A 15034-nucleotide genomic window follows, 5' to 3' on the forward strand; every position below is an offset into this window, starting at 1 on the left:
CCCGCCCCCCACCCACGCGGCGCCCGTGCCGCCGGCCGCTGTTCCACGGATGCCCACACGGGGGCAGTGTGTCATCAGGATCTCGCGCACCTTGGCTCAGGTCGCCTGCACCTGCCCTCTCCCCAGGAGGGTGAGCCAGGCCGCTGGGGGTTTGGAGACAGCAGCCCCTCGGCTTACAAATCCTTTGCGAGCACCTGCTGTGTGCCAGGCTGTGTGCTGGGACAGCTCAGTAAATCAGAGAGTCTTATCCATGCTTTCTCACCGTGGACTTTACGGGAGGGATGGTTCTCTGGGGTGGGGCTGTCCTGGGCACTGCAGGGTGCTGAGCAGCGTCCCTGGCCTCCACTCACTCCATGCCAGGCGCACGCCCCAGTCGTGACAACCACAGATGTCCCCAGACATCACCCAGTGCCCCCTGGGAGCAGAATCATCCTCCAGGTTAGAATCCCTGGGTTAGGGGATTCCGCAGACCCCCAAGAGACTCTGGATCCCATGATCCTCTGCCCTGCTGAGGTCCCAGGTGGCTACACACATTGAAATCCACACCCTGAGTGGGGAGGGAGAGAGGAGGTGAATCCCAAGGGTCCCCATGGTTTGTACCATCTGCCCCATCGGGAGCTTATTCTGCTTTCTGGTGTGAGCAGGGAGCAGACTCAATTTTCCCCCCAAATAATTAACTAAGAGATCCCCATTCTAGACACTGTGGACATTCAAGGCTGGATTGTCCTCTAGGATGAGGCCGCCTTGGGCACTGCAGGGTCCTGAGCGGAGTCCCTGGCATCCACCCACTCCATGCCAGCAGCACCTCCTCCAAGTCCCGACAACCAGAAATGTCCCCAGACACTGCTGTCAATCTCTTGATCAAGGGGTGCAAAATCACCGCCACCTGAGAATTCCTTTCTTTTTTTTTTAATTTTTTTTGAGACAGAGTCTCGCTCTGTCAACCAGGCTGGAGTGCAGTGGCACGATCTCGGTTCACTGCAAGCTCTGCCTCCCAGGTTCATGCCATTCTCCTGCCTCAGCCTCCCGAGTAGCTGGGACTACAGGTGCCCACCACCACATCCAGCTAATTTTTTGTATTTTTAGTAGAGACGGGGTTTCACCATGTTAGCCAGGATGGTCTCGATCTCCTGACCTCGTGGTCCGCCTGCCTCAGCCTCCCAAAGTGCTGGGATTACAGGCGTGAGCCACCGCAGCCGGCCAAAAATTCCTTTCTAGTGAATCAACTCATCACACATATAAATATTTATTTGTTTATTTTATTTTTATTTAGTTTTTTTGAGATGGAGTCTTGCTGTTGTCGCCCAGGCTAGAATGCAATGGCACGATCTCGGCTCACTGCAACCTCCACCTCCCGGGTTCAAGTTATTCTCCTGCCTCAGCCTCCCGGGTAGCTGGGATTACAGGCACCTACCACTGTACCCTGCTAATTTTTGTATTTTTAGTAGAGACGAGGTTTTGCCACATTGGCCAGGCTGGTCTTGAACTCCTGACCTCATGATCCACCCACCTCAGCCTCCCAAAGTGTTGTGATTACAGGTGTAAGCCACCGTGCCCAGCCCACACATAAATATATTTAAATTATGAAATAAGCAGTTATGGCCAGGCGCAGTGTCTCACGCCTGTAATCCCAGCACTTTGGGAGGCCGAGATGGGCGGATCACGAGGTCAGGAGATAAAGACCATCCTGGCTAACACAGTGAAACCCCGTCTCTACTAAAAATACAAAAAAATTAGCCGGGTGTGGTGGCGGGCGCCTGTAGTCCCAGCTACTCGGGAGGCTGAGGCAGGAGAATGGCGCGAACCCAGGAGGTGGAGTTTGCAGTGAGCTGAGATCGCGCCACTGCACTCCAGCCTGGGTGACTAAGTGAGACTCCATTTCAAAAGAAAGAAAGAAAGAAAGAAAGAGAGAGAGAGAGAGAGAGAGAGAGAGAGAAAGAAAGGAAGGAAGGAAGGAAGGAAGGAAGAAAGAAAGGAAGGAAGAAAGAAAGAAAGAAAGGAAGAAAGAAAGAAAGAAGCAGTTATATGAGGTGAGGGAGCTGTAAACTTTTCTTGACCATCACATCTCCACCCAGGTAAAAGTGATTCTCCTGCCTCAGCCTCCTGAGTAGCTGGGACTCCAAGTGCCCGCCACCATGCCTGGCTAATTTTTGTATTTTTTAGTAGAGATGGGGTTTCGCCATATTGGCCAGTCTGGTCTCGAACTCCTGGCCTCAGGTGATCCGCCCGCCTCGGCCTCCCAAACACACATATACACACATGTACTCAGGACAGAGGTTTAAGTACCTGCATAACCCCAATAAAAATTGCACAAGATAACTCTTCGCTCTGCAAAGCACCACGCACTGTGATGTTTCCTATTCTACTTCATTTAAAAAATATATATGGGTCATGATCCACTGAATTGATTTCTCCACCCACAGACTGAAAAAAATAATAATTAAAATAGCGACTGGGAATCACGCACTCCAGAAACATCCCCAGGCCCTTCCACTGTAGAAAAAAATGAATGAGCCAGGCACCAAGGCTCACACCTGTAATCCCAGCACTTTGGGAGGCCTAGGTGGGCAGATGACCTGAGGTCAGGAGTTCAAGACCAGCCTGGCCAACATGGTGAAACACCATCTCTATTAAAAATGCAAAAATTAGCCGGGTGTGGTGGTGGGAGCCTGTAATCCCAGCTACTCAGGAGGCTGAGGCAGGAGAATCGCTTGAACCTGGAAGGCGGAGGTTGCAGTGAGCCGATATCGTGCCATTGCATTCCAGCATGGGTGACAAGAACAAAACTCCATCTCAAAAAAATAAATTAAAAAAAAAATAGTGGTAGCCCGGCACGGTGGCTCACACCTGTAATCTCAGCACTTTGGGAGGCTGAGGTGGGAGGATAGCTTGAGCCCAGGAGGTTGAAGCTGAAGTGAGCCATGATTGCACCACTGCACTCCAGCCTGGGTGACAGAGTGAGACTCTGACTCAAAAGTAAATAAATAAATATAAATGCCTCCTTCTCACTTTATTTATCTGTCTATTTTCCAAATAGATTCATGGATTCTCTCTCTCTCTCTTTTTTTTTTTTTTAGATGGAGTTTCGCTGTCGCCCAGGCTGGAGTGCAGTGGCATGATCTCAGCTCACTGCAACCTCCGCCTCCTGGGTTCAAGCAATTCTTGTGACTCAGCCTCCCTAGTACCTGGAATTGCAGGCATGCATCACCACACCCAGCTAGTTTTTGTATTTTTAGTAGAGACGAGAGTTTGCCATGTTGGCCAGGCTGGTCTCGAACTCCTGATCTCAGGTTATCTCCTTGCCTCTACCTCCCAAAGTGCTGGGATTACTGCAGCCTCCCGAGTAGCTGGGACTACAGGTGTATGCCATCATGCCTGGCAGATTTTATTTTATTTTTTTGTGGAGACAGGTTCTCCCTGACAAGCCCAGGCTGGTCTTGAACGCTTGGCCTCAAGTGATGTGCCTGCCTTGGCCTCCCAAGGTTTTGAGACTACAGGCATGAGACACCTTGCCAGGCCCAGAAGGAGGGGTTTAGAAGGAGTAACAGGGATAGACAAAGTTACATTGTGTAGGGACAGAGCTCACACTGTGGGTAGACAGTTCCAGGCAGAAGGCACAGGCTGTGCAAAGGCCCTGGGGTAGGACTGTGCCTGACTAGTTAGAGGAACACTAAGGAGACCTGTGTGACTGGAGGAAAGGGAGACAGGGAGGAGGGGAGGACGGGGAGGGGCTGGTGCAGGCCCTTGTGGGCCATGGGGCGGACTTGGGCTTTTCCTGAAGGAAGGTGGGAGCCATGGAGGGCTGTGAGCCGAGGAGGGACAGGCCCTGACTCAGATTTGAATTCAGTTATGAAGGCCGAGTGTGGTGGCTCATGCCTGTAATCCCAGCACTTTGGTAGGCTGAGTGGGGAGGATCACTTGAGGTCAGGAGTTCGAGACCAGCCTGGCCAACATGGTGAAACCCCGGCTCTACTAAGATATACAAAAATTAGCCAGACGTGGTGGCACGCACCTGCAGTCCCAGCTACTCAGGAGGCTGAGGCACAAGAATCGCTTGAACCCAGGAGAGGAAGGTTGCAGCGAGCCGAGATTGTGCCACTGTACTCCAGACAGGGCAACAGAATAATGCTCCATCAGAAAAATAAATACATAAATAAAATAACAATAATTCAGTGTGACTTTAACATGAAGAGGCTTCTCCACTAAATCCATGTCTGCAGAAACCGGGCACGAGCTGTCCCTGGCTGTGCGTGGGGATGTCTGTGGATGGTCAGACCTCCCTGGGCTCGGAATGGGCTTGTTTCAAATGCAGCTTCCTGGGGCTGGCTCTCCGCACAGTCTAATTCAGCAAAGGCGGGGCAGAGTCTGAGCTGTGACCCCGTGTCCCGGGTGTTTCCCGAATCATAAGATCAGATGAGCCTGTGGGCAGAAGCTTTGTAGGAGGCCGTGTGCGTGGCCAGAGCCTGCAGCCCTGGGTGCAATCTGTTTTGCCCTTACTTGGGAATAAGAAACTCAACCTGCTCACAGGAGGAAATGGTTTCTAATGTTTGTTTTTTTAAAAGAGAAAGTCTTGGCTCAGTTATTTGCCCGAAGCCAGAATTGGGATAATCAAGGAGCTTAACCAAAACCTTCATTCATTCGTTCGGATTTAGTGCATTTCTTTATTTATATATATAGTTTTTAGAGACAGGGTCTTGCTCTCTCGCCTGGGCTGGAGTGCTGTGGCACGATCATAGCTCACTGCAGCCTCGGCCTCCTGGGCTCAAGTGATCCTCCCTCCTCAGCCTCCTGAGTAGCGGGGATTAAGGTGTGCACTATGGCACCCTGCCAGATTTAATATATATACACACACATATATATATATATTTGAGATGGAGTCTTGCTCTGTGGCCCAGGCTGGAGCTCAGTAGTGTGATCTCGGATCACTGCAACCTCTGCCTCCCGGGTTCAAGTGATTCTCCTGCCTCCTGCCTCAGCTCCCCAGTAGCTGGGACTACAGGCTTGCATCACCATGCCTGGCTAATTTTTGTATTTTTAGTAGAGACGGAGTGATCCTGACCTCAGGTGATCTGCCTGCCTCGGCTTCCCAATTTTTTTTTTTTTTTTTTTTTTTGAGACAGAGTTTCCCTCTTGTTGCCCAGGCTGGAGTGCAATGGCATGATATTGGTTCACTGCAACCTCCGCCTCCCGGGTTCAAGTAATTATCATGCCTCAGCCTCCCGAGTAGCTGGGATTACAGGTCCCACCACCACGCCTGGCTAACTTTTGTATTTTTAGTAGAGACGGGGTTTCACCCTCTTGGCCAGGCTGGTCTCAAACTCCTGACCTCAGGTGATCCATCTGCCTCTGCCTCCCAAAGTGCTGGGATTACAGGTGGGAGCCCGGCCACAGGTAACTCTTATATCCCTGTTTTGCCAAAAGGAAATGGAGGCTAAGGGAGGAGGAGTCCCTGGTTCAAGGTCACAGCTCAAGGTCATGGAGTTGGGAGGGAGAGCAAGGAGGGAGTGTGGGAATTTGAACCCAGGGATTGTGATTGCAGGGTCTGTGTTGTTATCTGCCCCAAAACTTTTCCACATGTGCACAGCCTCCACCTGGACCCAGCCCTATCCTCCCTCAGCTTGACAAGCCAAGTCCTGTCTGCCCTGGTCCCCTCGATGCAGGGCAGGTGAGCCCCAAAATTGGGGCTTAGCCTGGGAGGGTTCTTGGCTTCACCCAGGAAAGATTTCAAGGGCAAGTGGTATTAGAAAGGGAGTTTTTTTTTGTTTTTTTTTTTTTTGAGATGGAGTCTCATTCTGTCACCCAGGCTGGAGTGCAGTGGCAAGATCTTGGCTCACCACAGCCTCTGCCTCTTGGGTTCAAGGGATTCTCCTGCCTCAGCTTCCTGAGTAGCTGGGATTACAGGCACGTGCCACCATACTTGGCTAATTTTTGTATTTTTAGTAGAGTCGGGGTTTTACCATGTTGGCCAGGCTATTCTCGAACTCCTGACCTCAGGTGATCTGCCTGCCTTGGCCTCCCAAAGTGCTGGGATTACAGGTGTGAGCCACGGGGCCAAGCCTGGTTATTTTTTTCAGACAAGGCCTTGCTCTGTTGCCAAGGCTAGAGTGCAGTGGTGCAATCATAGCTTACTACACCCTCAGCCTCCCAGGCTCAAGCAATCCTCTCACCTCAGCCTCCTGAGTAGCTGGGACTACAGGTGCATGCCACCACACGTGGCTACTTTTTAATGTTGTATTTTTAGTAGAGATAGGGTCTCGATATATTGCTCAAGCTATTCTTGGACTCCTGGGCTCAAGCGATTCTCCAGCTTCAGCCTCCCAAAGTGCTGGGATTACAGGTGTGCGGCACTGGGCCTGGCCAAGCAACTTTCCATGTGCCCGTTGGCCTACGGAAATTTTTATCACTACGCTTATTTCACCGATGAAGAGATGGAGATTCAGAGAGGGCAAGTCTCCCCCTGAAAGTCACACAGCTTGGGGAGGGTGTGCTGGATGAGAACCAGAGAGCCGGACTCCCAGCTTCCAGCAGCATAAACCACGGCTGTTGTTAGTATGGAGTGTAGGCGTCTGTACTGACATGTCTTCATTTCTGTTGGCAAAATACCTAGGAATGAAATGGCTGGATCCTGTTTATTTATTCAAAATAAATATAAATAGATACTGTTTATATTATTTATTTATCTATCTATTTATTTATTTAATATTATCTTTTTCAGAAGGAGTCTCACTCTGTTGCCCAGGCTGGAGTGCAGTGGCATGATCTTGGCTCACTGCAACCTCTGCCTCCCTGGTTCAAATGATTCTCCTGCCTCAGCCTCCTGAGCAGCTGGGACTACAGGCGTGTGCCACCATGCCTGGCTAATGTTTGTATTTTTAGTAGAGACGGGGTTTCACTGTGTTAGCCAGGATGGTCTCGATCTCTTGACCTCGTGATTTGCCCACCTCGGCCTCCCAAAGTGCTGGGATTACAGGCGTGAGCCACCGCGCCCAGCCACTTTTGTATTTTTAGTAGAGATGGGGTTTCATCATGTTGGCCAGGCTGGTCTCGAACTCCTGAGCCCAAGTGATCCACCCACCTCGGCCTCCCAAAGTTCTGGATTTACAAGTATGAACCACGGCCAGCCCTAGATCCTGTTTAAATTTTTTTTTTTTTGAGACGGAGTTTTGCTCTTGTTGCCCAGGCTGGAGTGCGATGGTGCAATCTCGACTCACCGCAACCTCCGCCTCCCAGGTTCAAGCGATCCTCCTACCTCAGCCGCCCGAGTAACTGGGATTACAAACATGCGCTACCATGCCCAGCTAATTTTTGTATTTTTTTAGTAGAGACGGGGTTTCTCCATGTCAGTCAGGCTGGTCTCGAACTCCCTACCTCAGGTGATCCACCCACCTCGGCCTCCCAAAGTGCTCGGATTACAGGCGTGAGCCACAGCGCTCAACTGATCTTGTTTAAATTTTGAAGAATCCGGCCGGATGCGGTGGCTCACACCTGTAATCCCAGCACTTTGGGAGGCCGAGGCGGGCGGATCATGAGGTCAGGAGATTGAGACCGTCCTGGCTTACACGGTGAAAGCCCGTCTCTATTAAAAAATGCAAAAAACATTAGCCGGGCGTGGTGGCGGGCGCATGTAGTCCCAGCTACTCAGGAGTCTGAGGCAGGAGAATGGCGTGAACCTGAGAGGCGGAGCTTGCAGTGAGCCGAGATCACGCCCCTGCACTCCAGCCTGGGCAACAGAGCAAGACTCCGTCTCAAAAAAATATTTTTTTAAATAAAGAATCTGCTAGACTTTTTTCCAAAGTAGCCGCACTATTTCACATTCCCACCAGTCATGGAGGAGAATCCCAGTTGCTTCCTTTTTTTTTTTGTTTGGTTTTAGATCAGGGGTTCTCGTTTTGTGTGCCAGGCTGGAGTGCAGTGGTGCGATCATACCTCACTGCAGCCTCAAACTCCTGGGCTCGATCGATCTTCCCACCTCAGTCTCCCAAGAAACTGAGACCACAGGCATGCACCACCATGCCTTACTCATTTATTATTTTTTGTAGAGATGGGGTCTTGCTGTGTTGCCCAGGCTGCTCTTGAACTCCTGAGCTTAAGTGACCCTCATGCCTTGGCCTCCCAAGTAGCTGGGACCAGAGGCATGTGCCACCATGCCCAGCTTGACCATTTTTTAAATTTTTTATTTCTGAGACAGAGTCTTGCTCTGTCCCCCAGGCTAGAGTGCAATGGCGCCATCTCTGCTCGCTGCAACCTCCGTCTCCTGGGTTCAAACAATTCCCCTGCCTCAGCCTCCCGAGTAGCTGAGATGACAGGCACCCGCCACCATGCCTGGCTAATTTTTGTATTTTTAGCAGAGACGGGGTTTCACCTCGTTGGCCAGGCTGGTCTCAGGTGATCCACCCGCCTTGGCCTCCCAAGGTGTTGGGATTACAGGCGTGAGCCACCAAGCCTGGCCTGATGATTTTCTTTTTTCTTTTTCTTTTTTTAATTTTTGAGACAGAGTCTTGCTCTGTCGCCCAGGCTGAAGTGCAGTGGCGTGATCTCGGCTCACTACAACCTCGGCCTGCCGGGTTCACACCATTCTCCCGCCTCAGCCTCCTGAGTAGCTGGGATTACAGGTGCCTGCCAACATGCCTGGCTAATTTTTGTATTTTTAGTAGAGACGGGGTGTCATTATGTTGGCCAGGCTGGTCTTCAACTCCTGACCTCAGGTGATCCACCCGCCTCGGCCTCCCAATGTGCTGGGATGACAGGCGTGAGCCACCACGCCGGCTGATTTTCTTTATGGCAGGCAATGAGTGCTCATTTTCCACCCTGAGGCCTGGAGGGGCTGGTGTTTGGGTGCGGAGGGTCCTGCCCCCTGACTCCGGAGCTGTAGTTCTGGCAATAGGTGCCCTTGCACCCTGCCTGTCCTCAGCCTGGGTCCCCATCACCTTTGTCCTCGCTCGCAGCTCTGTGCCAGGAAATGGCCTTGTTCTCACCCCGGGCCCTCATAAAATCCAGTTCCTCAAGGTCCAGGAGGCCAAGGCCACAAGGAAGGGAGGAGGCCGTGGGGAGCTGAGGAGGGAGGGAGGGGCCGCCAACGCCATGAAGGCACTGCTGTGAGTGTGGACTTTGTCACTCTGAGCCTCTGGGTGGGGACGCTGGAGTCAGTATTCAGCTCCGGGTTGGGGCCCAGGGTCAACTCCCCATCTCTGGATGGGCCTCAGTTTCCCCATCTTCCCCACAGGAGGCTTTCTGTGTCCTGGCCCAGTTCCCGGCACACAGTAGGCACTGAGAACGGAAGACCCCCCATGATGTTGTTGTTTCTTTTCTTTCTTTCTTTCTTTTTTTTTTTTTGAGACGGAGTTTTGCTCTTGTTGCCCAGGCTGGAGTGCAATGGCGCAATCTCAGCTCACTGCAACTTCCACCTCCAGGGTTCAAGCGATTCTCCTGCCTCAGCCTCCCAAGTAGCTGGGATTACAGGCGTACACCACCACGCCCAGCTAATTTTGTGTTTTTAGTAGAGACGGGGTTTCTCCATGTTGAGTCTCGTCTCGAACTCTTGACCTCAGGTGATCCGCCTGCCTCAGCCTCCCAAAGTGCTGGGATTACAGGCGTGAGCCACCACGCCTGGCCTGTTTCTTTTCTTTCTTTCTTTTCCCCCTCCCCTCCCCTCTCCTCTTCTACTTTCCTTTCCTTTTCCTTCTTTTCTTTATTTTTTTGAGAAGGAGTCTCACTCTGTTGCCCAGGCTGGAGTGCAGTGGCGCAATCTCGGCTCACTGCAACCTGTACCTCCCGAGTTCAAGTGATTCTCCTGCCTCAGCCTCCTGAGTAGCTGGGATTACAGGTGCCCACCACCATGCCCAGCTAATTTTTGTATTTTTTGGTAGAGACAGAGTTTTACCATGTTGGCCAGGCTGGCTTCAAACTCCTGACCTCAAGTGATCCGCCCGCCTTGGCCTCCCAAAGTTCCAGGATGACAGGCGAGAGCCAATGCGCCTGGCCTTTTCTTTTCTTTTTCTTTCTGCCAGGGTCTCACTCTGTCACCCAGGCCGGAGTGCAGTGGCACAATCACAGCTCACTGCAGCCTCAAACTCCTGGCCCCAGCAATCCTCCCACCTCAGACTCCCAAAATGCTGGGATTGCAGGCGTGCATCAATACACCCAGCTAATTTTTAAATTTTTTTTCTTTCTTTTTTTTTTTTTTTTTGAGATGGAGTCTCGCTCTTTCACCCAGGCTGGAGTGCAGTGGCGCGATCTCGGCTCACTGCAGGCTCCGCCCCCTGGGGTTCACGCCATTCTCCTGCCTCAGCCTCCCATGTAGCTGGGACTACAGGCGCCCGCCACCTCGCCCGGCTAATTTTTTGTATTTTTAGTAGAGACGGGATTCACCGTGTTAGCCAGGATGGTCTCGATCTCCTGACCTCATGATCCGCCCACCTCGGCCTCCCAAAGTGCTGGGATTACAGGCTTGAGCCACCGCGCCCGGCCTAATTTTTAAATTTTTTTGTAGAGATGGGGTTTTGTGGTGATGTCCAGGCTAGGCTCCAACTCCTGCCCTCTAACTATCCTCCTACCTCAGCCTTTTGAAGTGCTGGGATTACAGGCGTGAGTCGCTGAGCCTGGCCCCAACTGTTGTTCCTGCTCCCCACTGGATCTCCTCCCAACAATGCCCAGGACAGCCCTGCAGCCAGGAGGGGGTTTCCACGGAGTTTCTTTTATTATTATTATTATCTGAGACTGAGTCTCGCTCTGTCGCCCAGGCTGGAGTGCAGTGGCACAATCTCTGCTCACTGCAAGCTCCGCCTCCTGGGTTCATGCCATTCTCCTGCCTCAGCCTCCAAAGTAGCTGGGACCACAGGCACCCGTCACCAGGCCTGGCTAATTTTTTTGAATTTTTTTAGTGGAGACAGGGCTTCACTGTGTTAGCCGGGATGGTCTCGATCTCCTGACCTTGTGATCTGCCTGACTCAGCCTCCCAAAGTGTTGGGATTACAGGCGTTAGCCACTGCGCCCGGTCCACGGAGTTTCTTTAATAAATGCTCAAGGCTGGGCGCGCTGGCTCATGCCTGTAGTCCCAGCACTTTGGGAGGCCGAGGTGGGGAGGTCACGAGGTCAGGAGTTTGAGACCAGCCTGGCCAACATGGTGAAATCCCGGCTCTACTAAAAATACAAAAATGAGCCAGGTATGGTGGCGCATGCCTGTAATCCCCGCTGCTTGGGAGGTTGTGGCAGGAGAATCACTTGAGCCCGGAGGTGGAGGTTGCAGCGAGCCGAGACTGCGCCATTGCACTTCAGCCTGGGCGAGAGAGCAAGACTCCGTCTCAAAAAAAAAAAAAAAAAAAAAAAAAAATTGCTCAAGGCCGGGTGTGGTGGCTCACACCTATAATCCCAGCACTTTGAGAGGCTGAGGCGGGCAGTTCACTTGAGGTCAGCAGTTCGAGAACAGCCTGGCCAACGTGGTGAAACCCATCTCTACTAAAAATACGAAAGTTCGCTGGGCGTGGTGGCGGATGTCTGTAACCCCAGCTACTTGGGAGGCTGAGACATAAGAATCGCTTGAACCCGGGAGGCAGAGGTTGCAGTGAGCCGAGAGCATGCCACTACACTCCGGCCTGGGCCACAGAGTGAGACTCCATTTCAAAAAAATAAAAAAAATAAAAACGTAAGTAAAAATAAAAAAGTAAGTAAATATCCAGTCTAGTACCTGGCCCATAGCAGACGCCCAATCAATAATCATCAATAAATAGATCCCATTTCAAATTGTGACAAAGTATCTGAAAGAAAAGAACAGCGTGTTATGGCAGAGACTGGTTGAGGAGGGAGGATTGCTTGAGCCCAGGAGTTTGAGATCAGCCTGGGCAAGCTAGTGAGATCCCATCTCTACAAAAAATTAAACAAATTTAGCTGAGCGTATTGGTGGGCACCTGTAGTCCCAGCTACTCGGGAGGCTAAGGCGGGAGGATCATTTGAGCCCAGGAAGTCGAGGCTGTAGTGTGCTGAGATCGTGTCACTGCACTGCAGCCTGGGCGACAGATCAAGATCCTATCACAAAAAAAAAAAAAAAAAAGCCGGGCATGGTGGCTCAAGCCCGTAATCCCAGCACTTTGGCTGGCTGAGGTGGGCGGATCACCTGAGGTTGGGAATTCAAGACCAGCCTGACCAACATGGAGAAACCCTGTCTCTACTAAAAACACAAAATTAGCTGGGGTGGTGGTGCCTGCCTGTAATCCCAGCTACTGGAGAGGCTGAGGCAGGAGAATCGCTTGAACCCGGGAGGCGGAGGTTGCTGTGAGCTGAGATAGTGCCACTGCACTCCAGCCTGGGCAACAAGAGTGAAACTCCGTCTTAAAAAAAAAAAAAAAGAAAAGGAAAGAAAGAAAGAAAAAGAAAGAAAGAAAGAAATACACCCTGTATCATGGCAGGAGAGGTAATCAATGAATAAAGAGGTAAATACGATAATTTCAAGCTGCAAAAAGGGCTATGAAGGCAACTCAACAGGACGTGACAGGAGGGAGGGCTTGGAGTGGGGGTGGCATTAGTTATGGATTTTCAGGTAGGACCCATTGGAGGGGGAGGTGTTTTTAGCCGAGGCCTGAGTGACAATATTGGGTTTTTTTTTTCTTAGATGGAGTCGTGCTCTGTCACCCAGGCTGGAGTGCAGTGGTGCGATCTCAGCTCACTGCAAGCTCGGCCTCCCGGGTTGGCACCATTCTCCTGCCTCAGCCTCCCGAGTAGCTGGGACTACAGGCACCTGCCACCATGCCTGGCTAATTTTTTGTATTTTTAGTAGGGATGGGGTTTCACGATGTTAGCCAGGATGGTCTCGATCTCCTGACCTCCTGATCCGCCCACCTCGGCCTCCCAAAGTGCTGGGATTACAGGCATGAGCCACCACGCCCGGCCATATATTGTTGCTTTTAACAGAGACAGGATCTCACTGTATTGTCCAGGCTGGTCTCTAACTCCTGGGCTCAAGCGGTCCTCCTGCCTTGGCCCCCCAAAGTGTTGGCATTACAAGCATGAGCCACTCTGCCTGGCCAAGTGAGTGACAATGTTTTTGGCCACAATTTGCCCTCTGGTTGTAAGTTTCACATGCAATTGGAGCTTTGATCTATTGAGGCGGGAACTCCAGGAGCCCCCTGGCTACGTGCAGCTGAGGTGGGACTGGAACCCCAGAAGATGAGCTTTTCAAGGAGCTAATCTTTTGTCCGGGTGTGGTGGCTCACACCTGTAATCCCAGCACTTTGGGAGGCCGAGGTGGGTGGATCACCTGAGGTCAGGAGTTCAAGACCAGCCTGGCCAACATGGTGAAACCCTGCCTCTACAAAAATACAAAAATTAGCCGGGCATGATGTGGGGGTGCCTGTAGTCCCAGTTACTGGGGAGGCTGAGATGGGAGAATTGCTTGAGCCTGGGAGGTGGAGGTTGCAGTGAGCCGAGATCATGCCATTGATTGCACTCCAGCCTGGGCGACAGAGCAAGACTGTCTCAAAAAAAAAAAGTGAGCTAATCTTCCCACACACCCAAGGAACTGATAAACGGAGACTTTGACCCTCCCTTTGCCCTCTTATCTCAAGACAAGGGAGAAGGGTCTATCAAGGTGTACCTCTGAGGATAAGGGATAGGCTCCTGACATTTGGAAACTGGGAAGGGCCAGGTAGAGGGAGGAGGTGGTGGGGAGGTCAGGCAGTGTCAGGGGCTGGGAGAGGCGTGGCAGTCAGCGAAGTTGTATGCAATGGTGCCTCAGTTTCCTCCTCTTTAAAATGAATTTCCAGCTCCAAGAACAATCTAGGCTCTAGTATTCATTTTTAGTATCTTCCCTTTGTCTTTTTTTTTTTTTTTTTTTTTTTTTTTTTGTAGAGACAGGGTCTCACTATGTTGAGACCCTGGTCTTGAACTCCTGGGCTCAAGTGATCCTCCTGCCTTGGCCTCCCAAAGTCCTGGGATTATAGGCGTGAGCAACTGCACCTGCCTTAATTTCAGTTTTTGAGACAGGGTCTTATTCTGTTACCCAGGCTGGAGTGCAGTGGTGCAATCATGGCTCACTGCAGCATTGACTTCTTGGGCTCAAGTGATCCTCCCACCTTGGCCTCCTGAATAGCTGGGACTACAGGCACACGCTACCATGCCCGGCTAATTTTATTTCATTATTTTATTTTATTTTTTGAGGTGGAGTCTCACTGTGTCGCCCAGGCTGGAGTGCAGTGGTGCGATCTCAGCTCACTGCAACTTCCACCTCCTGGTGTGATCTCGGCTCACTGCAACCTCCACCTCCTGGGTTCAAGCGATTCTCCTGCCTCCGCCTCCGGAGTAGCTGAGAATATAGGTGCAAGCCACCATGCCCGGCTAATTTTTGTATTTTTAGTAGAGACGGGGTTTCACCATGTTGGCCAGGCTGGTCTTGAACTCCTGACCTCAGGTCATCTGCCTGCCTTGGCCTCCCAAAGTGCTGGGATGACAGGCGTGAGCCACCGTGCCCAGCAAATTTTATTTTTACTTTTGTAGGGTGTGTACGTGGGGGTCTTGCTATGCTGCCCAGGCTGGTCTCAAACTCCTGGCCTCAAGCAGTCCTCCTGCCTTGGCCTCCCAAAGTATTGGGATTACAGGCATGAGCCACTCTTCCCAGACCAGGCTTTTTAATTCCTTTCCCATCATTCCAAACACATCGATTGAGCACCTAGTGTGTGTTAGAGCCTCATTCTAGGTCTCTTTCTGTAAGGGACCACATAGGAAATCTTTGAAGAGTTCTTGTAATGCTGCCCTGTGGGGTAAGAGTAGCCACACTCAGTATGGAAATCAATGGATGTGACTGGCTTCCAACAAAATCCTATACATGGACACTGAAATTTGAGTTCCATATAATTTTTATGTCTACCTAAATATTACTTTCTTTTGATTTTTTAAAACCGTTTAAAAATGTAAAAGCCAGGCTGGGCGCGGTGGCTCACGCCTGTAATCCCAACACTTTAGGAGGCCGAGGCAGGCAGATCACGAGGTCAGGGGATTGAGGCCATCCTGGCTAACACGGTGAAACCCCATCTCTACTAAAAAATAC

The 15034-nt window shown here is 51.3% G+C and overlaps 1 annotated feature.

Annotated features, from left to right (window-relative positions):
* Window positions 350-607: a silencer, noted in NCBI's record as "fragment chr19:3076432-3076689 (GRCh37/hg19 assembly coordinates)". NCBI's record gives its function as "represses an EF-1alpha promoter that drives an FKBP-Casp9 reporter gene in an ReSE screen in phorbol 12-myristate 13-acetate-treated (for megakaryocytic differentiation) K562 erythroleukemia cells {active_cell/tissue: K562(+PMA)}" and the evidence as "EXISTENCE:reporter gene assay evidence [ECO:0000049][PMID:32094911]".

Source organism: Homo sapiens, chromosome 19, assembly GCF_000001405.40.
Source record: "Homo sapiens chromosome 19, GRCh38.p14 Primary Assembly".
In the NCBI taxonomy this organism is placed as follows: domain Eukaryota; kingdom Metazoa; phylum Chordata; class Mammalia; order Primates; family Hominidae; genus Homo; species Homo sapiens.